At 39.0% G+C, this 27810-nt stretch overlaps 1 protein-coding gene across 6 annotated transcripts in view, besides 2 other annotated features; it reads right to left on the reverse strand.

Annotated features, from left to right (window-relative positions):
* Positions 1-27810, reverse strand: part of PRKN (parkin RBR E3 ubiquitin protein ligase) — a 1380350-nt gene that overhangs the window by 970552 nt on the left and 381988 nt on the right. The window lies entirely within an intron of this gene.
* Positions 20597-21144: an enhancer, noted in NCBI's record as "H3K27ac-H3K4me1 hESC enhancer chr6:162759597-162760144 (GRCh37/hg19 assembly coordinates)". NCBI's record gives its function as "activates a minimal SCP1, AML or CMV promoter by ChIP-STARR-seq in primed H9 embryonic stem cells {active_cell/tissue: H9 hESC(primed)}" and the evidence as "EXISTENCE:reporter gene assay evidence [ECO:0000049][PMID:30033119]".
* Positions 21145-21692: an enhancer, noted in NCBI's record as "H3K27ac hESC enhancer chr6:162760145-162760692 (GRCh37/hg19 assembly coordinates)". NCBI's record gives its function as "activates a minimal SCP1, AML or CMV promoter by ChIP-STARR-seq in primed H9 embryonic stem cells {active_cell/tissue: H9 hESC(primed)}" and the evidence as "EXISTENCE:reporter gene assay evidence [ECO:0000049][PMID:30033119]".

The raw sequence follows: 27810 nt of genomic DNA on the forward strand, positions 1-27810 counted from the left end.
TTAAGCATATTCACATTGTTGTCCAACCAACACCACCATCCAACTCCAGAAATTTTTAATTTTCCCAAACTAAAACTCCATACCCATTAAACACTCACTTCCTGATTCCTACCCCTCTCCAGGCCCTGGTAACTGCTATTCTATTTTCTGTCTCTAGGAATTTGACTACTTGAGTATCTCATAAAAGTGGAATCATACGATATTTCTGTGTGACTGCTTATTTCACTTCGAATATTTTCCGAGTTCTTCCATGTCATAGCATGTATCAAAATTTTATTCCTTTTTAACGGTGAATAATAATATCAGAATATGAAAAATGCCTACAGCAGCAAAAAGTAAGCCAAATAGATGTGAAGCCAACAAAGGGCCTCCATGTTATATACATACATACCACATTTTATTTATCCACTTATTCATTGATGGACATTTAGCTACTATGAATTATACTGCTATGAACAGTGATGTACAGATATCTGTTCAAGTCCCTGCCTTCAGGTTTTGGGGGTATATACCTAGAAATGAAATTGCTGGGTGATCATCTATATTTCAGTTGTGTGGAACCACCATACTGATTTCCACAGCGGTTGCACCAGCAAAGTACAAGAATTTCTATTTCTCTACATCCCTGTTGAACTTTTTACTTCCTTTTTTGTTGTTTTGATAATAGTTATCCTAATGGATGTGGTACTTCACTGTGGTTTTGACCAGCATTTCCCTAATAATTAGTGATGTTGAGTGTCTTTTACTGAGCTTATTGGCGTGATTATGAAGATTTGAAAGTTACATTTTATAAACATAGCATCAATCCAGGCAGGCCAAAGATATAACATTTGTGAAAGCAAAAACGAATTGAAAAAACACAAACAGGTGACTTTTCAATGCCATTGATCAGCATGCTACATTTAGTACTTAAATACTGAAAAAGAAACTTAAAAATCCAAATATAGAATAAACGGTTAAGTGTATTACGAAGCACTTGTCACAAAAGAACACTAAGTTATAAAAGTAGGAAGACTGGTAGGTAATACACCAAAATGTTTAAGGTGGTTATTTTTAAGTGTGTTTCATAAGTAAGCTTTGTTTTATTCTTTACACAGTCTTCATCCTTGGCACTCAAGAAATATTTCCTGATTAAGTCACAAATTGATTTTTTTATAATAGTGTGTAATTACGAAATAAGAAACAAACATATTTGTTTTAAAAGGAAAAATAAAGTAAACTAGTAAATTGGTTCTGCTGTACATTAGAATTGTCTAGGGAGCTTTTAAAATAATATAAATGTGTGGTACTTCTCTTCATCAAAGATCAGAATCTTTGGGGGTGGAGGAGCCCAAGCATCTGTAATATTAATACACAAAGAAAGTTGAGAACTACTGTTGTGGAAAATAAGAATGAATTAGGCCCTTTGGAAGTGTTCTCTTCATCGTCCGTTGCTGCAGTTGATTAAAGATGAACCACTCAACCAGCCTAAATTGTTGACCCACAAAACCATGTGCAAACTATAATAGCTGTTTTAATGCTCTAAGTTCTGATGTGGTTACTTACACAACAACAAATTATTAACTCACTTAAAATTTTCCCCAATAAGGGCTTATTGTGTGTTAGGCACAATACAAGTGCGTAACATTCATTATCTCATTAAATTGTCCTAACAAACCAATAAGGAAAATACATTATTTCAAATGAAAATAGGCTTGGGATGCTTACACAGTTTGCTCTTTAGCATCCAATTCCAATCACTAATATACTAACATTTGCCTAATATAAATTAGAGGAAATTAAGAGAGACAAATTGCAAGATATTGCATTGTAAATACATAATACATACACAAATACACAAAAATTCATTGTAAATAATTCATCAGCATGCTTATTTTTCAACTAATGTAAACACTCAACATTAGGTAGTCAGTTAGGTATGCCTTTGGCATAACTGAATAATATATATAATATACATTGTACTCATTAGGTAACTTCTCATCATTCATCCTACTTCCACCCACTTACCCTGCCAAGTCCATTGTCTATGACTGCACACTCCATGTCCATGTGTACACATTCTTTAGCTCTTACTTATAAGTGAAAAAATGAGCTATTTGTCTTTCTCTATCTGACTTGTTTCACTTAAGATAATGGCCTCCCGTTCCATTCATGTTGCTGCAAAGTACATGATTCCATGTTTTCTATGGTTAAATATAATTTTATTGTGTATATCTGCCAGTTTCTTTATCCAATCATTCATTGATGGACACTTAGGTTGATTCCATATCTTTGCTATTATGAACAGTGCTGCAATAAACACAAAGTGCAGGTATCTTCTTGATGTAATGATTTTTCCTTTGGGTAGATACCCAGTAGTGGAATTTTAAAACTGTAATAGAAATACAAAAAGCCAAAAAAAAAAAAAAAAAAAAAACCAAGCATTTTAAGATCAAACAAGCAAAAAAAACCAAAAAAAAAAAAAACCCCACAAAATTTCAAGATACTTCACCAAAAAAAAAAATATATGAAAAGCAAATAGGTAAATGAAAACATGTGCAACATCATTAACCATTAAGAATGTGCAAATTAAAACCATTAAGACACCACTACACACCTATTAGAATTGTTAAAAATAAAAAGACTATTTCAAGAATTGGCCAGGATATTGTGCTGCTAATTGGGAATTTAAAATTATATAACCACTACAAAAACAGTTTTGCATTTTCATGAAAGGCTAATCATATACCTCATATGGTCTAGCCATTCCACTCTTAGGTATTACCCAAAAGAAATGAAAGTTTATTATGAAATATTGAAAAAATGAAAATGCATTTCTAAACAAGCCTTGGGTAAAAGAAGAAATGAAAATGGAAATTAATAAAATTCAAAAGTGAATGAAAATGAAGACATAACATAACAAAATTTAGGGGATGCAGCTAAAGCAATATGCAAAGAAAATTTTTTGGGACTAAACAGAAAAAAGTTTCCAATTGTCTTCACATTCCACCTTCACAAACAAAAAATGAAGAGCAAATGAAAAGCAAAGCAAGAAGAAAAAAGAAAACAATAACGATCAAGGTGAAAAATCACTGGTTGAGAAAACAGAACAATAGGAAAAAGACCATGAAACCACAACTTTGTTCTTTTTGTTGATCAATAAAAATTATACTGTCTTGTCAGGCTGATCAGGAAATAAAGAGAAAGGATACAAATTACCAATGTCAGAAACAAGAGAAGTGACAACACTACACATTGTAGAGATACCACAAGGATAAGAGAATATTCTGAGCAATTTTCTACCTATAAATTTGGCAACTTAGATGAAATTTTACAATTCCTGTAAAGGCTAAACACAAGGACCTACTAAATTTCAAGCCAGAGAGAAAAGAAAACTTGAATAGACTTATGTCTATTGAAGAAACTGATACTGCATTAAAAAACCTCAAACGAAGAAAACTTTTAGGCCCAGATGTCTTCACTAATGAAGTCTATCAAACATTTAAGAAAGAAAAAGAAGCAATTCTACACAAATGCTTGAGAAAAGTGAAGACAAGGCAATACTTCCAATTTATTTTTTTTCAGCCATTATTACTTTGATACAAAAACAAGACAAAGATATTGTGAGAAAAGAAAACCGAAAATGAATATTCCTTAAGAACACAGAAATGTTAACAAATAGAATTCAACAATATGTCAAATAACGATACATTGTGACTGAATGGGGTTTCACCCAAGAATGCAAGTTTGATTTAACCTTTGAAAATCAAACATAATTTACCATGGTAAGAGAGTGAAAAAGAGAAATATAATACTCTCATAAGGTTTAAAATAAAAGCATCTGACAAAAATCTGAAGTCTGTCTTATACAGTCCCACAGCAAATTAGGAAAAATAGAGAACTTTCTCAACCTGATAAAGATCATCTATGAAAATCTACAGTTAACATTACATTTAATGATGAAAGATTGTCTACTTTCCCTCTGAGATTGAGGCCTTAATGTTAAGTCTTACAACTTCCACTCAACATTATACTGGAGCTGATAGCCAGTGCAATAAGTCAAGAAAAATAAAATGCATAAGATTAGAAAAAAATTAGAAAATTCCTATTCTCAAATGACTTGATTGCCTCCATAGAAATTTCTATAGAATCTAAAAAATGTCATTAAAACTAATAAGTAAACTTAACAATTATCTCGGTTATAAAGTCAATATACAAAATATCTAAAATTGGAATTAAGAAACACCATTTACAATAGATCAACATATAAAATACGCAAAAATAAATTTACAAACAGTTTGTGTGAATTGTACACTGAAAAGTATAAAACATTGCTGAGTGATATTAAAGAAGAAAGACCTAAATAAATGGAGCAGTATTTGCTCTGGAATTGGAAGACGTAACATTATTAAAATGTCATTATTCCCCAAAGTAATCTACAGATTGTCAATCAAAATCTTAGAAGATGGTGATAGAAACTGACAAGCTAATTCTAAGATTCATGTGACAATGCAGAGAACCTGAAACAGGCAAAAACATTTTGAAAATGTAGTACAAAATTAAAAGACTAACACCATCTGACTTCGGGTCTCATTGTAAAGCTACAGAAATCAAGACAATGTGGAATTGACATCAAGATAAATAAATATATCAATGGAACAAAATGAGGGTAAATTCAAAAATATGTTGACCATTGAGCTTTTGACCAAGTATCAAAGGCAATTTAATTGATAAAGGACGGTCTTTTAAACAAATGGTTCTAGAACAATTGACTATCCATTATAAAAATATGAACTATGGTCTATATCTTGCATCTCTTGCACCATATATAAAAATGAACTTGATTCACAATAGCAAAGACTTGGAACCAACCCAAATGTCCAACAATGATAGACTGGATTAAGAAAATGTGACACATATATACCATGGAATACTATGCAGCCATAAAAAATGATGAGTTCATGTCCTTTGTAGGGACATGGATGAAATTGGAAATCATCATTCTCAGTAAACTATCACAAGAATGAAAAACCAAACACCGCATATTCTCACTCATAGGTGGGAATTGAACAATGAGATCACATGGACACAGGCAGGGGAATATCACACTCTGGGGACTGTTGTGGGGTGGGGGGAGGGGGGAGGGATAGCACTGGGAGATATACCTAATGCTAGATGACGAGTTAGTGGGTGCAGCACACCAGCATGGCACATGTATACATATACATATGTAACTAACCTGCACAATGTGCACATGTACCCTAAAACTTAAAGTATAATAAAAAAAAAATGAACTTGAAATGGATCTCACCAATAAATGTAAAATCTAAAACTGAAAATTTGAAAAACCACTTATAGAAAAAAACATAAGAGAAAATCTTTATAATCTTTGCTTAGACAAGAATTTCTTAGATAATAATACAAAAATCTATAAAAATCTATAAAAGACTTCATTTATTTTGACTGTCAAAATAAAAAAAATTAAAGACTTCAAATTTAAAGATTTTTTTAAAAAGCCAAATATTGAGAGAATATCTTGCAAATCACATATTTGATATATGATATATTCTTGTATCTAGGATATATATAAAAATTTTCAAACTCAGTAAGAAAGCAAACAATCATATTGAAAATACTAAGAAAAAGATTTAAACAAACACTTCATCAAAGAAAATACTTGAGTGGCAAATAAGCATGAAAAGATGTGCAACATTTTTAGTCATTAGGGAAACGCAAAATAAAACCACAATGAGATACTACTACAAACCTATCAGAATGTCTAAAATTAAAAAGGCTAATCATACCAAATACTGGTGAAGGTTGGGAATAACTGAAACTCCCATGCACCGCTTCTGGGAACATAAAATGGTAATCAGTTTGGAAAAGATTTTGGTGATTTTTACAATTGAGACATAAGCTGATCATATGACTAAGCTATTCTACTCCTAGAAATGAAAGCATATGTCTATTCAATAATTAGTACACAATATTCAGAGTAACTTTATTTATAACAGTGCAATAGCCAAAAATGTGATAAAAACAAATGTCAATCAACAGGTAAATGGGCAAATACTGTGGTAAGTCTACACACCTGTATACAGGTGTGCAACTTTCTAGTGTGTAGATTTACCACAGTGTTTACCCACTTACCTGATCATTTGTTTTTATCACATTAAATATACCAGCAACATGAAAAAATTTTAAAATAATTATGTTTAATAAAACAGGCCAGAGTAAGGAGTGCATTCTATATTATTCCATGTAAGTACATTATAGACAATGCAAACTAATCTAGAGTGGCAGGAAGCAGATTAGCAGCTTCTTGAGGCTGGGAAAGAGTGGGGAAGGTGCCGCAAAGCAGCACAGAGAACTTCTTGGGGAATTTCTGTGTTTACTGTCGTTACTGTGGTGATGGTACTGAGGTATACAAAGACACTAAAATTCACAAACATTTATATGCCAGATACATGCAGTTTATTGTATGTTGATTATGCCTCAATAAATCCACATGAAAAGAAACCCAAATTAACCCAAAATTATTTGTAGGGGTAAAGTAAATGCATTAGAATACAGGTAGACAAGGAGATACTGGAAATCTTGAACAGTATCAGTAATGCTTTGCTAAGCACTGGCACAGGGGGTCCACAGGTGCGCAGGGGGTCCACAGGTGCTCAGTTCATAATTCTGCTTCACAACTTGCACACACACTATAAACTCTAGTATATATAAAATAGTAAAAATATTGATCCTTATATACAATTAAAATGGCCTCTATTTCACAATGACAAATATGTGTGTATATGTGTACGTATCTATGTGTAAGTGTATATGTGTACATGTATATGTACTGGAATGTGTATCGGCATGAAGGGGAAGAATAAAAATAAAAATAAAATGACAAAAATGTCTCACATGAACCAATGGCAATATTGTGTCCTAAACTAGTGAGTATGACTAATTCAACTTTTGCATCTGATGTAAAACAAAACAAAACAAAACAAAATTACTACTGTTGCTTTAATCCACTGGGTGATTTCCCAGTAATTTAATTTAAAAAAACTGGCATTAAGAACTAAGCAGAACGAGGATATTTTAATTTGGAAAAAAAAATCCATAAATACACAAGTAATAACATTATTTTAAAATTAAATGACTGATTTCAGAAGGAAATGTTTTCAACAACTTTATTAGTGCTAGAGCCCTCATGCCACAGCTCCTGGAAGACTTCAGGCTCTCAATTTAAGCTCTTTGAATGTAAAGAGAGCCAGACAAACAGCTTTTCTTCTGTAACACTCCATTTGGCTGGTTAACACAAGTTATCGATTCTGGGATTTAGGGTTGCCAAATGCTTTCTTAAGAGCTCTGTGCTATTGACTATCCTCGTTTCCTCTGCACTTCTTTTCTTAGTCTTGGGTAAAATTTAAAACTCTTTGTACCATTTTTCAACTCATCTCGACGGAAACAGCCTCAATTTACTATAAAAATGTCAATGGCTCACTAGTGACCTAACCTCAAAGGATTGGGAACGCTGCCTCAGACATCTCTTTTCTATGTTCCCAGGGTCTACAGAGGCTCTACCACAACAAGATGGGGAAGCCCAGTCTGTAATCCAGCAGGACAGTGGAATGCTACTGGTGAGACCTACAAACTAAGTCTGCAGCACAGTCCTGCAGCTTCCCCGAAAGCTCAGCCCAACAAGCTTCCTGAATTTCACATTCATTTTACACAACATACATGTTAGTAGATATTTTTAACGTACATATGTCTATTTAGGGGAAATTATTAGCATCATTATTGCCAACTTACAAGTTATTATTTTGCAAGTTTTATGCCCTTTAGAAGTGACTTTGTAACAGTTTAAAATATTATTTTCTTTAGGTAAAGAGTCATATTTGAAAAAGAGTAAGTCAAACAAATTGTATACATTTTATAAATTTGTTGAAAACCTTATTCTTAGAGACTGTAAAGCAATGGAGATCTTTGCAAACATCCGTGGTCATGTCTAATGGTGACGGCACACATAATAGCCAATCAGAGCTCAGTAAAACATAAGCCAGCAAATCAGAGGCCGCTCATAGAAGGAGTCCAAATTCCTTTACTGCAGGATGAATAACTTGTAAAATCCTAACATTCACATTCTAATCCTCTGAATGAATGCTGAGTAGGGAGGAGACGAAGCTTAGAAGCAAAAGGAAGCTTGCATCCTTTGATGTCCTCTATTGTTGAAGTTACAACAAATTAAGACAAAAATAATAGTTATGTTAGAAGACAAATTAAATACACGAATCATAAAGTAGAAAGAATTTTTGAAGAAATGATATTCAGCGTTCCCAGGGATTATAAGTCAGGCAAAATTAAGTCATGCAGCATTTTAATGTAAATATTTTGCATGATACATTTACCCACAGGCTTATCCTAAAGCAGTATGTTTGCACTTTTATCATTTGCCTTAGGATGAAAAAAAATCAATGAATTTAAGAGTTTTAAACCTCTTTAATATTTGCACAATATTAGATGTGCTATAATCTCATATAAAACTACCTCCTAGAGAGCTTTTGAGAATTGCTTTTGCCTGGGGTCTCTGGTACTAATACTTCAAGAGATTAGAAACATCTTACTTAAGAAGAGTTTTCTTTTTGCCCATTAAAATCAAACAAGCTTTGTTAAACACTGAGGCAGAAGAGATTCATAAATCAATGATACTCCCCTGAACTGCCCAAGGTTTGCATCATAGATTAAAAACCAATCTCAGAATTGAAAAAGCTACAGTGCCACATATCTGTCACAACACTAATTTACTGAACTTAGGAAGAAAATAACACTAGCATAGATTTAAATAGTTTTCTATGCAATATGCAATGAATCAATGTACTGACTTGCTTGGGGTTTATGAAAACAACAACTGACAATGAATATCATCCTAAGTAAAGAGAGGAGTTATGGTTTAAAATCATGTGACTACACAATTCCTACATTTTTTTAAAGAATAATTTACATCAAAATTTTTCTCTAACTCTACCCTATTATCACAGATTCTTTTCCTTGCATTCTTTTCAATACTATTTATCTGCTATGAATAATATTTCCATGTTTAAAGCATTCTATTATTTTATGACCTAACAAACTCCAGGATTTAAACAATGCTCATCTAACAGGAAATACCGCCCTTCCAATCTAACCTTCATATGCTTTCGTTTTCTTCCTTTTCTTCTCTCTGAACATGGAAAATGAGTGCCATTTCTATGCTGAATATTGATCAGGAGAGAAAAATATATGAGGTGTGAGTTATATTGTGACTACGGTGATTTTCCATCCACTCAGTATTACTTATCGTGTCAATCACTTAATCCTGCAGCATAAGTTCTTTTTTGCTTATGATGGAAAGTTTTGTTGTGTTTTATTTTTTATTTTTGTTTTTTGAAAAAAGACATGAGCAATCTGATTTTCTTTGGACTTCACAAAATCCAAGAAAGAAGATTTACTGAAAATTCATTTCTTAAAAAATGTGAGGTCCTTGACAATGGTCTTCTCTACAGTTTCAATGTTAGGTTTTGAAAATGTGAGGTCCTTGACGACGGTTTTCTCTACAGTTTCAATGTTAGGTTTTGAAAATGTTAGGTCCTTGACAATGGTTTTCTCTACAGTTTCAATGTTAGGTTTTGAAAATGTTAGGTCCTTGACAATGGTCTTCTCTACAGTTTTCAATGTTAGGTTTTGAAAATGTTAGGTCCTTGACAATGGTTTTCTCTACAGTTTCAATGTTAGGTTTTGGTCATCTCTGAGCGTGCATAACATGAATGGAAAGTTTTTTTCGGAGATCAGACCGTTATGATTTTTGGAAGTGTTTCCTGTCAAGGAGAAGCTCATGGTCTCCAAGGTCTTATCTTTCTACTGGGTGGATGGGCCAAGGGAACACGAAGAAGCATAATGGAGCTCTGTCTGAGAGAATCACCAGAGTCTTCCCCAGCGTTTCTCAATGGTCTACAAACAGGTCTGCGGGCTTGGATCACAGACGGAGATCCAAGATGGGCATGGGCATTTACGTGGGCAGGGCAAGCGACGCTGGCCACACTGCAAGGCCCTCAACGTTCCCACGTGAAAAAAGAAATTGTTCCTCAAACAGCACCACTAGGTCGGGTGCGGTGGCTGACGCGTGGAATCCCAGCATTTTGAGAGGCCAAGGCAGGCGGGTCACAAAGTCAAGAGATCAAGACCATCCTGGCCAACATGGTGATACCCCGTCTCTACTAAAAATACAAAAAGTTAATGGGCATGGTGGTGCACACCTGTAGTCCTAGCTACTCAGGAGGCTGAGGCAGGAGAATCACTTGAACCCAGGAGACAGGAGACAGAGGCTGCAGCGAGCCGAGATCGCACCACTGCACTGCAGCCTGGCAACAGAGTGAGATTCCGTCTCAAAAAAACGAACAAACAAAAAACAGCAAAACAAGCACACGTGAGAAGCCCTGCTTGTTCTGTGAACACAGTCATTTCTGCCTTTCCTTCACAGTAATTCAAAAGCATTTACTGAACAACGAATGTGTATTAGAACTTACAAAGATGGGTGAATAAGAAACAGCTCCTTCCTTCAAAGGTCTCCCTATCTACGGGAGAAAAGAGACCGGTAAATAAAGGGCCGTGCAGACGTATCTTATAAGTGCTGAGCTAGCAGCAGGACAAACGAATAAAGGAAGAAATGGCAGCTCTGATATTAAAGCCCTCAGCTCCTCCTGGAAAGAGGAACCAAGCCTTGGTGAAGCTTCAGAGAAGAAGGAACAATTAAAACAGGCTCCAGGGATGAGGAGAATGGACTGGATGGAGGAGGAGCGAGCGGCTGCCAAGGTAGGTGTGCCTCCAAGCACAGAAGGCAGCCAATGGTCATGCCCGGTTCCTGGGCCAGAGAGCAGGGGGGTGGTACCAGGTGGTGCTAGGGCCCCTGCTACATGGCTGGAGTTTCTCTTCTTCTCTAGTTCATTCCATGTTCTAAACACAACAAATCACATTGCCTCCAGGTGTTAGGACCAAGAATATTAAGGTCCTGAACCAAAATGCCAATATTTGGTAAAATGGCATTCCCTCATTTATATATATAAGTGCGTATCTGTATGTGTTCGGGTACTTCTATAAAATCTGCCAGTTTTTAACTTCCTAAATATAATGGCTAACTCTTTTATTGTAGACAAAATAACTAAATAATTGCACAGACATAATCCAACATCATGGGTTTGATTTTCTTAAGGGTAGAACAGCTCCAGCCATATAAATGCAGTGTGTGAGTGAAAATGAGGACGGAAGAGCGGGTGCAGCACGGGGGACCCAGCAGTCCTTGAGCCAAGGTCTGGACCCTCAAAAGCAGTGGACGTGGAAGGTGGTAGCTCCGATAGCCAGTGGGCATATACGCACAGAGAGCCTCACTCTCCAGCTCCAAAGCCTTCCATATCGATGGCTCCTTTTAGCACTACAGGGTCCTAAGGAGAGATGTCAAAAATGTTTAACAACCGTTGCAGCAGTACCGGGTTGGAAGGGACTCCGTAAGCAAGTTCCTACCTCCTGAGCATCAGGTCTGGCCTTGGTGATGGTTTTTCTCTGTCAAGGAGATTTTCAGCATTTGCAGTACATTAATTTTATGCATGAAATTTATCTTCATGTACTGTTCCTTTGTTTATTTTTGAGAGGAATATAAAGGGGAACTAAGAACAAACTTTTGCTCGAAGCCCTACTCTAGAAAGAATTCTAGAGTAACAGGATCTCTAAATTTCAAAGGAAGCCAAAAAATAAAAAAATAAAAAAACTCAATAATTTTGTACATTTTATATATGTTTTGGTAGAATAAAATAAATCCTGTAAAACCACAGAAAGGTAATTTAAGTACTTGGAAATCTATGTCAATATAGCCAAGATAATGGAGGTAAACTAACCTGGATCAGAGAAAACAAAAGTTGGAAAACACTGAGGGATCATCTTGTCGGCCTATCAGAAACGGTATCCAATCTACAACATCACAGCAAGTCAACATCCGATTTCTTCTTAAGGCTTTCCAACAGCAAGAACTTTGCCATCTTACAAGGCAGTCCATCCTATCAATGAATAGCTCTACGTCTTAGAAAGTTCCCCTCAGGAAAGAAATCTGGTCCTCTATACCTTTCATCTATCAATCCAAGTTCTGTCCTCTGGTGTCCTAAAGAGCAAGTCAGGTCTTTTGAAAAAGATGTCTCTTCTCATATTTCCAGTGCTTATCATGTGCCTCTATAATTATGCTCTTTTCCATGGTTTATAAGCACATTGCTGATGTGATGTGGGGTCTCTGCATTTTTTCTTGGTGCTGTCTTGGGAAGCGGCATAGTATGGTGGTATCTTCTGAAACTGCAGACTCCAGGCCCAAATGGGCTGTGGAAAGGGGACCTTCTTTATACATGTACATAAGTTCTGAGCAATAAAAAATTTTATTCTATCTGGTATTTGTGCAGTAGCTTTTTATAAAAGAAAGCAAACAGCTTCACCTTTGTTTCTGTTATATATCCTCCTGTTGGTTCAGCGCATAATTCCAACTATAAAGGCTGAAACTGAATTCTAGATATTGAGTCTGTCACTCAGGGCATCCGTTGTTCCTGCAAGCTCAGAACCAAGTCTGCTATGCATTCCTTCTGTGTTTTGTACAAGCAGATGGAAAATGTCTGAAACAAAAAGAAACTAAACAGGTAGTGCTTTCACATGCCACTAGAGATTTCCTTCTACTTCAACTGTGCCATTGTATTTAAGTGAAGTTCTGGAAGTTACAAATCCCCCTGTTACTCTGCTGTCCTATGAAAGGCTATGAAGAAGGTGCATGTGTGAAAGTGCCAGCTGCTTCACTGACACACTCACCTTCACAGCCTAAGCAAGGGTGTTGATCCCACTTGACACATCAGGAACTCGTGTTGTGGAGGCATTCAACAGCCCACCTAAAGCCACTGAGTGGGTGGGAGGCAGGTGAGTGACTGCAATACAGACCCCAGGGGTCCTTCACTTACAAACACATCAAGAGAAGACACAGTGTTGATGCCCAGATATATCGTTTCAGGTTTTCCATCACTCTATTACGATTTTAGAAATAATTTTAGGCAGGGCACACTGGCTCACACCTGTAATCCCAGCACTTTGGGAGGCCAAGGCAGGCCGATCACTTGAGGTCTGGAATTCAAGGCCAGCCTGGCCAACGTGGTGAAACCCCATCTCTATTAAAAAAAAAAAAAAAATGCCAGGAGAATTCTATCACAAGAAGCACAAGGATGATCTGTGCCCCGCCATAATTCAATCGCTCCCAACCAGGCCCCTCCTCCAGCAATGGGAATTACAATTTAACAGGAGATTTGGGTGGAGACACAGAGCCAAACCATATCAACCATCAATCCTAAACAGTGGGTTTAACTTTCCTTTCAGGTCTCAGAAAAGTACACAGGACAATAAAATATGCCCGCTTCATCATTTCATTTATGTATCCATCCCTTCATTCTTTCATGCTGTAAACAACATAAACTGTAGCTCATTCCTTTCTTCTGCTCTATGAAAACATTTTTACAGCTTCCCATCTTTCTTCCTACTTATCCTTGGTTACTTGTCATTTCTTCAGCATTTGTACTTCCCCTTTCAAAATGTGAGCTTGGTGGACACCACCTAAATTGGTTTTGTTAGATATCACCCCATTTTTCTTTCTGAGTATCATCACATGTCAGTAAATAGTTGGAATTTATTCTTCCAGAACCTTAAATCAAATTCCTTCAGAGGATCTAGACCCTGCCTTTTCTAGAAATGTGGAGGCCAGTTTTCCTAAAAGCCATAGTACGTGTCTGATTGACCTGGCATTTTCTTTCTTGCTGACTGAGACCTCCGTAGCGGTGGGGTTATTGTCTCTGACACTGCAACTCAGTATGGAATATGTGTTCCCCTTGTAGCTTCCTCCACCATTTTTGAGAATGCATGTTAACCAATAAAGTCAAAACTTTAATGACTTTTAGTGGGATGTATTCAGATATTTGTTCATTCAATAAGTATTGATCAATTTCTTGCAAAATGCCAGTCTTGTGACCTATGTAGTTAAAATGTCACCCCTACTCTTCCTTCCCAAGAACTCTGCCATCTGCTCTTTAAAGGTTACAAATGCTGGCTCAGCTCAACCAGAATTAATCCAGGCATGTGGTTTCTTTGGCTAACATGTTGCATTACAAAACGAAGTCATTTCTCCAAAATTTCACATACAAGATTTCACATACAATTCCAAATTATTAATTCCTCTTGAAAAACTGGAAGACAACTCTGAGACTATATATCCATAGGGCCAAAACCAGTGAGAGACAAGCAGCAGCTTCCCCTGCAGAAAGGTTTTATTTCTCCATGTGAATGAAGATAAGTTCTCCAGGAGCAGTGTCAACACAGCACACAACCTGGCCTGCGCCCCTCTCTCTCCTGAGCCCTGTAGGCATCCAGGTTTATACCTCCTGCCCTAAGTAAAGCCTCAATCCTCCTCTCCTTTAGGACGCACATAAATTATTTCTGCCATTCCTGCTCCCTTGGATTGGTAAATTATCGTATCAGTATAAACCCATGCCATCACTAGCCCATATGGCCCTTCATGAAAAATTGGAAAAAGGCACCCTAATTCTACTTTATATCCATCTGTTGGAAAATTGCTGTGAATTACTGATTTTGTCATATGAAGTTACATGGCTTCTTTATCCCAGAAATTTATCATAATAAATAACCAATAGCAAATCTTGGAATCGCACTGTGTGAATGGTGTCCCTCCACATGAGACACTGGCAGGCAGGGCCCAGACAGCACCAACATCCACGACAGCCCCCAACCCACACCTGCTTGTCACCTACTACAGTTCCATCCAATAGCACCACCACCAACACTTCCACTGCCCCACACACAGCTTCATGAAGGCCATTATGCCAAGGGGAGGTTTTTTCCTTCCAACTATTATTTCTATGAAATTTTTTCCTTCTAAAATTTGCTCTCCAAATATTTTACCCTGCACAGGGCTCTACATGCTGCTATTTGAAAGACCAGTAGCAGAATCTTCACTAACCTTCCAAACAGATATTTTGAGATAATATTAAGGGGACTTTATTTCCATAGTTTAAAGAAATATTTTGCCCTGTTACTATACTTTTTCCTATTTTGAATTTTAACTAGAGAAAGAGACCCATATATTCTTGATGTGAAAAGGGACAAGTTACTCTTTCTCTGCTACTCTCTTTTTATAAAAAATAAAGCAAATAAAATGCCACATTAAAATCTTTTTTTTTTTTTTTTTGAAACAGGGTCTCACTGTCCCTCAGGCTAGAGTGCACATGCAGGCACACCTCTTGTCATTGTGCTTCAAGTTGTTGTGCTTTGAAGATACTGCATTTTTTAACAAATTGAAGGTTTATGGCGACCGTGCATCAAGCAAGTCCACAGGAGACATTTTGCCAACAGCCATGTGCTCACTTCATGTCTCTGCATCACATTTTGGTAATTCATATAATATTTCAAACTTTTCCACTATCATTATATCTGTTATTGTGATGTATGATCCACGATCACTGACATAAATATCGTCTAGTTTTGGGGCACCACCAACCATGCCTATATAAAACAGCAAACTTATAAATGTTACATGTGTTCCGACTGATACGCCAACTGCCTGTTAGACACTGTCTCTGTCTTTCTCCTCAGGTGTGCCTCCCTATAGCCTGAGACGCAACTATACTGTATTAGACCAATTAATAATGCTACGACGGCATCTAAATGTTCAAGCGAAAGGCAGAGTTGCATGTCTCTCACTTTAAATCAAAGCTAGAAATGATAAAGCTCAGTGAGGAAGGCACGTTGAAAGCCAAGACAGGCTTTGCACCAGGTTGGCTGTACCAACAAGTTAGTCAAGTTGTGAATGCTAAGAAAACTTCATGAAGGCAATGAAAAGTGCTACTCCAGTGAACACACAAACGAAACGAAAGCAAACAGCCATATTGCTGATATGGAGAAAGTCTGAGTTATCTGGATACAAGATCGAAACAGCCACAACATTCCCTAAAGCCAAAGCCTAATCTAAAGCAAGGCCCCAACTCCCTTCAATTCTACGAAGGCTGAGAGAGGTCAGGAAGCTGTAAAAGACAAGGTTGAAGCTAGCAGAGGTTGGTTCATGAGGATTAAGGAAAGAAACTGTCTCCATCATGTAAAAATGCGAGGTGAAGCAACAAATGCTGCTGTAGAAGCTGCAGCAAGTTATCCAGAGCATCTAGCTAAGATTGGATACACCAAACAACAGATATTCAGTGTAGAGAAAACAGCCTTTTATTGCAAGATGCCATCTGGGACTTTCATAGCTAGAGAGGAAAAGTCAATGCATGGCTTCAAAACTTCCAAGGACAGGCTGATTATCTTGTTAGGGGCAAATGCAGCTGGTTTAAAGCCAATGCTCATTTCCATTAAAATCCTAGGGCCCATCATGCTGAAATTTCTGTGGCCATGCTCTATAAATGGAAAAACAGCCTATATGCCAGCACATCTGTTTACAGTGTGTTTTACCGAATATTTTAAGTGCACTGTTGAGAACTCCAGCTCAGAATATTACTGCTTATTGACAATACAACTGGTCACCCGAAAGATACACAAGGAGATTAATTTTGTTTTTATGCCTACTGACTCAACATCCATTCTGCATCCCATGGATTAAGGAGCAATTTTAACTTGCAAGTCTTATTATTTAAGAAGTATATTTCATAAGGCTATAGCTGTCCCAGATATTGAGTCTTCTTATGGAGCTTGGCAAAGATCTTTGAAAACCTTCTGGAAAGGATTCCTCATCCTAGGTGCTCTAACAACATTCATGATTCATGGGAAGAGGTCAAAATATCAATATGAACAGGAATTAGAAGATTTGGATTCCATCTTTCAATGACTTACTCCTCAGTGGAGGAAGTCACTGCAGATGTGGTAAAAATAACAAGAGAACAAGAACTAGAAGTGGAGCCTGAAGATGTGACCAAATTGCTGCAATCTCATTACTTGAATGGATGAAGAGTTGTTTCTTATGGATGATTTTGTTTTTGTTTTTGAGACAAGAGTCTTGCTCTGTCCTCCAGGCTGGAGTGCAGTGGCCTGATCTTAGCTCACTGTAACCTCCGCCTCCTGGGTTCAAGCGATTTTCCTGCCTCAGCCTCCCGAGTACCTGTGATTATAGGTACACGGCACCACGTTTGGCTACTTTTTTTCTTTTTCTTTTTTTTTTTTAATTGTTGTATTTTTAGTAGAGATGGGGTTTCGCTAGGTTAGGCAGGGTGGTCTTGAACTCCTGACCTCAGGTGATCTGCCTGCCTCGGCCTCCCAAAGTGCTGGGACTACAGGCATGGGCCACTGCACCTGACCTGTAGGTTGGTTTTGAGACATAATGCTATCGCATAATTAATAGACTACATTACAGTGTAAACATAACTTTTAAATGCAGCGGGAAACCAAAACACTCATGGGTTGCACTTTCTTGCTATATTTGTTTTACCGTGGTCTTCTGGAATCTAACCTGTAGTATCTCTGAGGGTGTGCCTGTAACAATACCAGAGTTCATTTTTTCTAAATATACCTTTTGTTAAATCACCACCATTTTCTTAAAAAGCAATATGTTTATGCCAACAACATACTCAGAGTGAGATTAAATTCTTTAAAAGAAGTTGACTTTTTGAATGTAATAAACTTAATATATAATAATTACATCAAACTGCTCTTATTTCTCCTATTTTATCGCTCACCAGTGATTTTGATAATGCCTTCTTCTCCTCACCCTTCTACACAGTTCAAGGCCAGGCCTGCCATTCCTTCAGAGGTAGAGGGCTACACAACTGGTAAGTCCATGCCGAGTGAAGCGAGGGTGGCCAACTCTTCCAGCAAAGAGAGGGGCCCTGGGACTTGAGACTTTAAGTGCTGAAACAGGAAACGTCCTGGGTAAACTGGGGAGGATTGGTCTCACTTAAGGGCAACTAGATTCAAGTAATTACAGTGATTCTGCCACACACCTTGGCTTTCTCTGAGCAGTGCGGCCCATCTCACACTGGAATGCGTGATGCTAAAGAACCTCTACAGGGTAAGCAAGGGCAGCAAGGACAATGGAATAGTTGGGCTCCATCTGTGAAATACCAGAGCAGCAAACAGGAGTATGAGAGGTTTCCATAACACTTTCTGAAGACTGTTTGTCATTTTTCCACTTATCTAATCAGGTGTTTTCATAAAACTCAACAGAATATGTATACAAGTATAAAATGTATACAATGTATACAAGTATAAAATGTTCATATTACTCTATCTTCACCTCTTCTTCTTTTTCACTAGAAAGATGTCACACTCTCAATGCCAATTTCAGTCTATGTTACAGCTACAACGATACCTCCTCTCTCTGGAAGCCTCAGGGGAATGTCTGGGTAATGGAGAGCACCGTATCCACACTTTACAATTTTAAAACTTAAAGCCACACATCTGCGGCACATGACAGTGCCAACTGCCAAGTACTGAACTGACAGAGATTCACACCATAATGCTAATTCTCTGCACAAGGAAGGAATAAAAGTATGTGTCAAAAATCTGAAAATGATTGATGCCTGCCATCTCATCAAGACTGTCTGTCACACGATTTCGATTGATGATTTGAGATTGCATGTGAGCGGGACGCAGGTGCTGCAGGTTGCCTAACTAGCTCAACACTTATTCTCAACAACACAAAGACAAATTAATCTCCACATCAGAATACTTTCCATAAAGTTCATTAGACTTTACTACATCTACAAAAGGCTTGAGGTGGTTGGCCTAATCTCAGGGATACTAAATTCCTAACCATAGAGGACAGCTCAACAAATCAGCCACTTTCAAAGGTACTGGTGAGTCCAAGAGACCCAAAAATGTGAGAAGCAGTGCTCTGGCCATTGTGAAGGCACTGAATTGTTTTCATCACTGGGGGAGAACATATCTACTCTCAGATAAGGATATCCCTGGATTTTCTGGCTGTCCAGTTGAGACTGCTAAGGACTCGGTCAGAGGTGTAATTAGAAGAACAACTTGTGATTTCAGTGATTATTTCTAAAGCACACAGTACTGTTTAAACATGACTCTTATGTATCTTGTGACTACAAATATTGAATTAGTAAACTCTCATCTCTAAAAAGGAACCCCAAATATTGACTTGAAAATAACCACTTTTAGCCACAAGATTATAGATGCAACCTGTTGAACCATTTAGTATGAATCTGCCTAATTAAGCAAGAGGATTTCAAATAACCAAATATTTCTATTATAAAACACAACCCAAAATAACAGTTAAGAAAAGTTATCTCACCTCCCCCATCCTCACATAACCAAGGTATTTGAAATTGTTTTAATATTTGCATAAATATTTAAAAAGTTTCACCTTTAACAGAATAGGTAACTAGACGATGCCTCATCTTTTCTCAGAGTTCAACACATTTGGACCCATTCTTTAGATGAATGCACTTGTTTATAAAAATGTGTGATGAATGTCACTACATTAGCACGTAATAGATAATCCAAGTTATTTTCAGACTTAATCAGTTGTAAGTAAAGTGTGAGGGATTTGAGAACACAGAGAGAGGGCTGGTGGCTCTGCAGCTCCTGGTCAACATGGAAAATATGCAGCATTTCCCGTGGAGCCTCTCAGTCTCGCTGGCAGCTGCAGGATCAGCAGGTCTCGATCCATCATCATTCCTCCTTGGCCCCATACGGGCTGTGAGGACACCTGGGTCTAATAACAGAAGCTAATCACTCGGCAGTCATTTATGAAAGAGACATAGGAATGGAAAGAAAACCAGGAAAAATGAAACAGATGAATACAAAAGTACGCTGAAGAGACTGATGTTAAATGGAATGGGATTATAGGATATTTTAAGAAAATGTGAGAGTATTACAAGTAACAAACTACTTCTAATAGCAAAATATTGCCATAAAAATACATTATTAATGTTACATAATACACAATATTTCATTATAACATATTATAAATGCATCTTTAAATATCTTTAAAGTTTTAAGAGGATAAATCTAAAAATTAACTTTCCGATAAGTTTGGAACATGCATAGAATGTAGAGATTTAACTTTGATAAATAACTCTGTACTAGGACAGTGGCCCGGGAGACAGAAGGAGAAGAAGCATTTGCTCCTGACTTCAAGGTTCTTACCATCTCCAGGAGAGACAAATGTACAATTATAACCACAGCAGGAGATGATAAGGCTAATAGGTAAATCTAAAAGAAGTAGTCTCTGAAAAAGAGTGTTCTCTCCCTCTCCCTCTCCCTCTCCCTACGGTCTCCCTCTCTTTCCACGGTCTCCCTCTCATGCGGAGCCGAAGCTGGACTGTACTGCTGCCATCTCGGCTCACTGCAACCTCCCTGCCTGATTCTCCTGCCTCAGCCTGCCGAGTGCCTGCTACTGCAGGCACGCGCCGCCATGCCTGACTGGTTTTGGTGGAGACGGGGTTTTGCTGTGTTGGCCGGGCCGGTCTCCAGCCCCTAACCGCGAGTGATCCGCCAGCCTCGGCCTCCCGAGGTGCCGGGATTGCAGACGGAGTCTCCTTCACTCAGTGCTCAATGGTGCCCAGGCTGGAGTGCAGTGGCGTGATCTCGGCTCACTACAACCTACACCTCCCAGCCGCCTGCCTTGGCCTCCCAAAGTGCCGAGATTGCAGCCTCTGCCCGGCCGCCACCCTGTCTGGGAAGTGAGGAGTGTCTCTGCCTGGCCGCCCATTGTCTGGGATGTGAGGAGCCCCTCTGCCCGGCTGCCCAGTCTGGAAAGTGAGGAGCGTCTCCGCCCGGCCGCCATCCCATCTAGGAAGTGAGGAGCGCCTCTTCCCGGCCACCATCACATCTAGGAAGTGAGGAGCGTCTCTGCCCGGCCGCCCATCGTCTGAGATGTGGGGAGCGCCTCTGCCCCGCCGCCCCATCTGGGATGTGAGGAGCGCCTCTGCCCGGCCGCGACCCCGTCTGGGAGGTGAGGAGCGTCTCTGCCCGGCCACCCTGTCTGAGAAGTGAGGAGACCCTCTGCCCGGCAACCACCCCGTCTGAGAAGTGAGGAGCCCCTCCGCCCGGCAGCCGCCCCGTCTGAGAAGTGAGGAGCCCCTCCGACCGGCAGCCGCCCCGTCTGAGAAGTGAGGAGCCCCTCCGCCCGGCAGCCGCCCCGTCTGAGAAGTGAGGAGCCTCTCCGCCCGGCAGCCACCCCATCTGGGAAGTGAGGAGCGTCTCCGCCCGGCAGCCACCCCGTCCGGGAGGGAGGTGGTGGGGGTCAGCCCCCCGCCCGGCCAGCCGCCCCGTCCGGGAGGGAGGTGGGGGGGTCAGCCCCCCGCCCGGCCAGCCGCGCCGTCTGGGAGGGAGGTGGGGGGGTCAGCCCCCGCCCGGCCAGCCGCCCCGTCCGGGAGGGAGGTGGGGGGGTCAGCCCCCCGCCCGGCCAGCCGCCCCGTCCGGGAGGTGAGGGGCGCCTCTGCCCGGCGGCCCCTACTGGGAAGTGAGGAGCCCCTCTGCCCGGCCAGCCGCCCCGTCCGGGAGGGAGGTGGGGGGGTCAGCCCCCCGCCCGGCCAGCCGCCCCGTCCGGGAGGTGAGGGGCGCCTCTGCCCGGCCGCCCCTACTGGGAAGTGAGGAGCCCCTCTGCCTGGCCACCACCCCGTCTGGGAGGTGTACCCAACAGCTCATTGAGAATGGGCCATGATGACAATGGTGGCTTTGTGGAATAGAAAGGGGGGAAGGGTGGGAAAAGATTGAGAAATCGGATGGTTGCCGTGTCTGTGTAGAAAGAAGTAGACATGGGAGACTTTTCATTTTGTTCTGCACTAAGAAAAATTCTTCTGCCTTGGGATCCTGTTGATCTGTGACCTTACCCCCAACCCTGTGCTCTCTGAAACATGTGCTGTGTCCACTCAGGGTTGAATGGATTAAGGGCGGTGCAAGATGTGCTTTGTTAAACAGATGCTTGAAGGCAGCATGCTCGTTAAGAGTCATCACCAATCCCTAATCTCAAGTAATCAGGGACACAAACACTGCGGAAGGCCGCAGGGTCCTCTGCCTAGGAAAACCAGAGACCTTTGTTCACTTGTTTATCTGCTGACCTTCCCTCCACTATTGTCCCATGACCCTGCCAAATCCCCCTCTGTGAGAAACACCCAAGAATTATCAATAAAAAAATAAATTAAAAAAAAAAAAAGTAGTCTCTGATTTTTGCAATTTTATTTCGTGAGAACCAAGAAAATCAGAAAAGCTCTCTAATTCTATGCATTTTGTCCCAATTACTCAGTTTCTCTATTTCAAGTAAATTGGATATAACACTTGAATAGGATTCTGCCTTGATAAGTATTTATCCAACCTTATTCTAAAGTTTAATTCATTGTTCTGAAAATTGGATGAAAAAAGTGAACTTCTTAAAGGTTTGTGAATAAAAAATATATAGTCAAACCATAATGAAATTCTTCCTGAATACCAATGTCTAGACATTTCCCTGTAGAAAACTGGCAGATATCTAATAGAGTATTGCTTCTGAAAATTAACTGTGTAGTTCTGTGGTACAAAATCACTTGTAAAAAATCTCCTGGTGTCAAAACAGCATGGAACTGGTACCAAAACAGATATATAGACCAATGGAACAGAACAGAGGACTCAGAAATAACACCACGCATCTACAAACATCTGATCCTTGACAAACCTGACAAAAACAAGAAATGGGGAAAGGATTCCCTATTTAATAAACGGTGTTGGGAAAACTGGCTAGCCATATGCAGAAAACTGAAACTGGACCCTTTCCTTACATCTTATACAAAAATTAACTCAAGACCTAAACGTTAAGACCTAAAATCATAAAAACCCCAGAAGAAAACCTAGGCAATACCTTTCAGGACATAAGCATCGGCAAAGACGTCATGACTAAAACACCAAAAGAAATGGCAACAAAAGCCAAACTTGACAAATGGGATCTAATTAAACTAAAGAGCTTTGCTCAGCAAAAGAAACTATCCTCAGAGTCAACAGGCAACCTAAAGAATGGGAGAAAATTTTTGCAATCTATCTATCTGACAAGGGCTAATATTCAGAATCTACAGGGAACTTAAACAAATTTACAAGGGAAAAAAAAACATCAAAAAGTGGGCAAAGGATATGAACAGACACTTCTCAAGACATTTATGCGGCCAAGAAACATATGAAAAAAAGCTCATCATCACTGGTCATTAGAGAAATGCAAATCAAAACCACAGTGAGATACCATCTCATGCCAGTTAGAATGGGGATCATTAAAAAGTCAGGAAACAACAGATGCTGCAGAGGATGTGGAGAAATAGAAACACTTTTACACTATTGGTGGGAGTGTAAATTAGTTCAACCATTGTGGAAGACAGTTTGGTGATTCCTCAAGGATCCAGAATCAGAAATACCATTTGACCCAGCAATCCCATTACTGGGTATATACCCAAAGGATTATAAATCATTCTACTATAAAGACACATGCACATGTATGTTTATTGTGGCACTGTTCACAATAGCAAAGACTTGGAACAAACCCAAATGGCCATCAATGATAGACTGGATTAAGAAAATGTGGCACATATACACTGTGGAATACTATGCAGCTATAAAAAAGGATGAGTTCATGTCCTTTGCAGGGACATGGATGAAGGTGGAAACCATCATTCTCAGCAAACTAACACAGGCACAGAAAACCAAACACTGCATGTTCCCACTCATAAGTGGGAGTTGAAAAATGAGAACACATGGATACAGGGAGGGGACCAACACACACTGGGGCCTGTCAGGGGGTGGGGGGATGGGAGTGGATAGCATTAGGAGAAATACCTAATGTAGATGATGGATTGATGGGTGCAGGAAACCACCATGGCATGTGTATACCTATGTAACAAACCTGCCTGTTCTGTACATGTATACCACAACCTAATGTATTAAAAAAAAAAAAACTCCTGGTGTCACTTCGGCCATTCAAAGTCAAATGTTCTTCTAAATCTAGGTATTCATTAAATTAACATTGTAGAGGGTTTGCTTTTTAATGAAATAGTTTTTTTTGAAACCTCACTAATTGGTATAGTGACTCTTGCATGGCTCTTCCATCGGTATACATATTTAAGTTTGAATTATTGCTAAATCCTCTTTGTGAATAACTAACTTGGCCTTGTTCTTTAGTTCTGTGTCAACCTATTTGGTAGAAAGTGGCAAAAGTAGAGGCAAGAATATTTCAAATCATGCAAGTGATGCTGAACTCAGTTTCTGTCATATATTTAAGCACATCTGATTATGGCCAACGTTTCCCTTCAACTTTCACTCTACATGATTGCAATATAGTTTTTCCACGAGTAAGTGAGAAGTGCAGATAATACTTTCAAAACAAAACAAAACAACGTTGGTGTTTAATAAGACCCTGAATAAGCTATTGATCTGTGAATTAGCACCAGGCACGATGTGAAGTAGTTTACATATATTATCTCATATCACCTTCTTAATAACTTAATGAGGTGCTATTATGATAAATATTATAGGGTGAAAAGGACTAATCATTAAGAAGTCAGGTCACTTGCCAAAGTTTACATAGTAAGTAAGTGGTGGACCTGGGATTTTGACTCATTGATTAATTGACACGACAAATAATTAAGTGTCTACTATGCACCATGCAGTGTGCTAGGGAGGGAAGAATCATTTACTTACTCCTCAGTGACTCTAAGGCAGATTTAAGGCACGGCTTCTCTAAGCTCTTGTGTTGTCATTTGCCGCATGACACAGACATAGAAACTAGAGTGATTTTCCTCCTTGTCAAGCCCAATCATGGTGATGATTTTAAAAAATATTATTAATGATTACCTTTGGCTTCTAATCCCTAACGTGATATACTTATCTACTGATTACAGAAATCTTTGCTTAGTTTTATTTTCCAAGCAAACACAAAATATGATGGTAGGAAAAAAGAGTCCAGGTTGCTCCTTTCATAAAATCTTATTCCTAGGTTTCTCTCTTGTGGCACTTTAAAAAAAAGTATCCATGAAAGCCAAGGATTGATGTAAATAACCATTAGGAAGAGCTTAATGTTGACAAGTAGAAGTCGAGTTTGTTTTAGAAAAACAATAGGAAAACCTGTTATATACTGTCTGCAATGCTAAATAAATATTTCTCATCAGAAGAAATATCTGCTTATTACATTTTTGTCTTCCTGATTAGTATGCTTTATTCCTGACATCAACTTGAAAAAAGATGCAATAAATGAGAAGTTTAAATAACACAGGTATAAGACTGTTAACCTTGGGATCAAGGGATTATTTGTTAATATTTTTAAAATGATAATACCTTTATATTAAGGCTAGGTTCTAGACGCACCTCACATTCTCCACCCCTTTCTGGCTTTGCAGAAGCCATGACTGGGTCTGTGGAATAAAGCCTTAGCCATCCCGTGTGGTTGTTGTTTGCTACTACAGCAGTAGCCATAGCTCTTACCCTCCCCTAGGAACAGCAAGTTGCATTGCTATCCTGGTTTCCCAGAAACAGTAATAAGAAAAGAGTAGGAAGTATAATGGTAGACTACATGGTGGCACTAGTGGTGGATCAGGTGAAGTATATTGGATATCTGAGACTAGATGGGGTTTTTTTAAGTGTACTTACATAGGATCAAACAACATTTAACTTTCTGAATATGCATTTAGTAAGTATAAGGCACAAGTTGTTTCTGTACATTCATTTTCATGGAAGGGGTGTGTGTGTGTATGTGTATGTGTGCAAGCATGCTCACAAGTGTAGAAGACAGGGATTATAGAAGTAAAATAATAATGCAAGATATGCAAAATTTAAACAGTTAAAATTTTAGGAAACCTACATGATTTCTAATGTTGCAAGATAAGAAAGCTTCTGCTAAAACCAACATATACAAAAACGTTACTTATGAAATACTTTTGTAGAGATTTCACCCATGAGCAATAGAAAAAAAGGAAAGTTATTTAATATATTAGAAAACCCTAAGAAACGTGGTCTGTGGTCACTCCCTCTCTGGCACCTTTACCACAGTGATGACAGAGCTATGCGGAAAAGAATTTCTGTGCCAGTTCAGCCATCTGCTGTTGGCTCACAAATGGAGTTAACAGTCTAAAAGGAAAGTTTGTTTTGAGGTGCCATTCCCATGTGCATACAATCCACAAACTGCAGTGTATAAACGTGGCTCAGTCTAATACCAAGTTAAGACTTGGTTTTTTTGAAGAGCATATTGCACAGCATTTTCTGGAAATGCTCCCAATATTAGATACATGTCACATTCGCATAGAAACATATGGTCTTCAATGTGCAATCTCAAATCGTCTACAGAGACTCTGCAATCAGAGATTCCCTGTTTTACCTTCCTTTTATAAGTCAATTTTCACTTAGCAAACTATCACACTGTGGTGATTTGGAGGCATTATTTTAATTCCTAATGTAAATTTACTTTTAACAGATGTGATTCTATGAATCATATAGCAGCATATGATATTAGTTATTAGCTGAAATGATGCCAAGGGGTGTTACGTGCTGGAAACTAGAGCAACTGAGCCAAACCAAGGTCACCCCCATCACTGCCCTCACAGCTGGGTCAGGGAGGTCTGGCCTGGCCCTTGTCCATTCTGAAGGTTGAGAGAAAAATGGCGTCTTTATGATGCCCCCTGCCCACCGAGATACTCAGATATATTTCGCCCTGTCCTTGAAGCAGCCCCACTACTACTAACAGTGGCTCTGAAAATGTGGACTTGACAGATAGTACCTGTCACTGGCTTTCTATCCAGGCTCCATTCCTTTCTGGGCTGCAGGTTTGAAAATGGATGTGCCCCAGGGAACCTGAATACAGTGAGTTCACACACAAGCAGGAAAGAAGTGAGTTTCTTTTGGTTTGGGTTGAAGCAGTTGCTCAAACGTGATAGGCAGAAGAGGTAAGGATTTCACTGTGCTTTAACAAAATGCTTCCATGGTAATCAGTCCTGTATACTGTATAATCACTATACAGAAACAAAGTGTGCACCAAAAGGTAAAGAATTTTCCTAGGACAAGACCGCAGCTCCACAAACAACCAAGGAAGCTGTTCAGAAACCTCTTTCTGTGCTCTCTTACTCCCCTGAGTTCATCCCCAGGCCCCAGGGCCTCCCATTCCAGATGTGAAGAGGTGAAGACCACGCCTGGAATAACTCCGAATACAACACAATTGCTCCTCACATATCAGCTGTTCTTTTCCCTGTTCACTACTGAGAAAACATAGATAAATCACGGCACTTTCTGTCTAGCATTGAAAATGGTCATTTTAAGAATCAGGGCAGATGTTGGCTACACACAGAAAGCTGCCCAAGGGTAGGCTTGAAGCAAAATAAATTAAGAAACCCATCATGTACTCTTGAGTGCAGGGAAACAAACTGATAATAGCAACAAGTATGCATCCTTTTCAAGTAAAGATAATGAGTCAACCTGCTGATTGCATATTGTGGTGACTGAATACATTGTGCAATGATTAACAAAAGAACTGATTGTTCGTAATTCAAGGAATATCTTTCCATTTACTGAGGCTTTACTTAACCTCTAGCAATAGTTTTGTCAAGTTATTCACAAAGGCCGTATAAATCTTTTGTTAGATTATTCCAAGGTTCAGCATATTTTTGATGCACGCAATTTTAAATGGTAGCTTAGAAAAATCACATCTTCTGCCTGTTGTTAGCATACAGAAATGCAATTGATTTCAGTATGCTGAATTTTTATTCAGCAAAGTTATACATTCTCTTATGAATTTATATGACTTATCGTTATATTCTTTTGAGCTTTGTAGTCACA

This window comes from Homo sapiens, chromosome 6, assembly GCF_000001405.40.
Source record: "Homo sapiens chromosome 6, GRCh38.p14 Primary Assembly".
Classification (NCBI taxonomy): domain Eukaryota; kingdom Metazoa; phylum Chordata; class Mammalia; order Primates; family Hominidae; genus Homo; species Homo sapiens.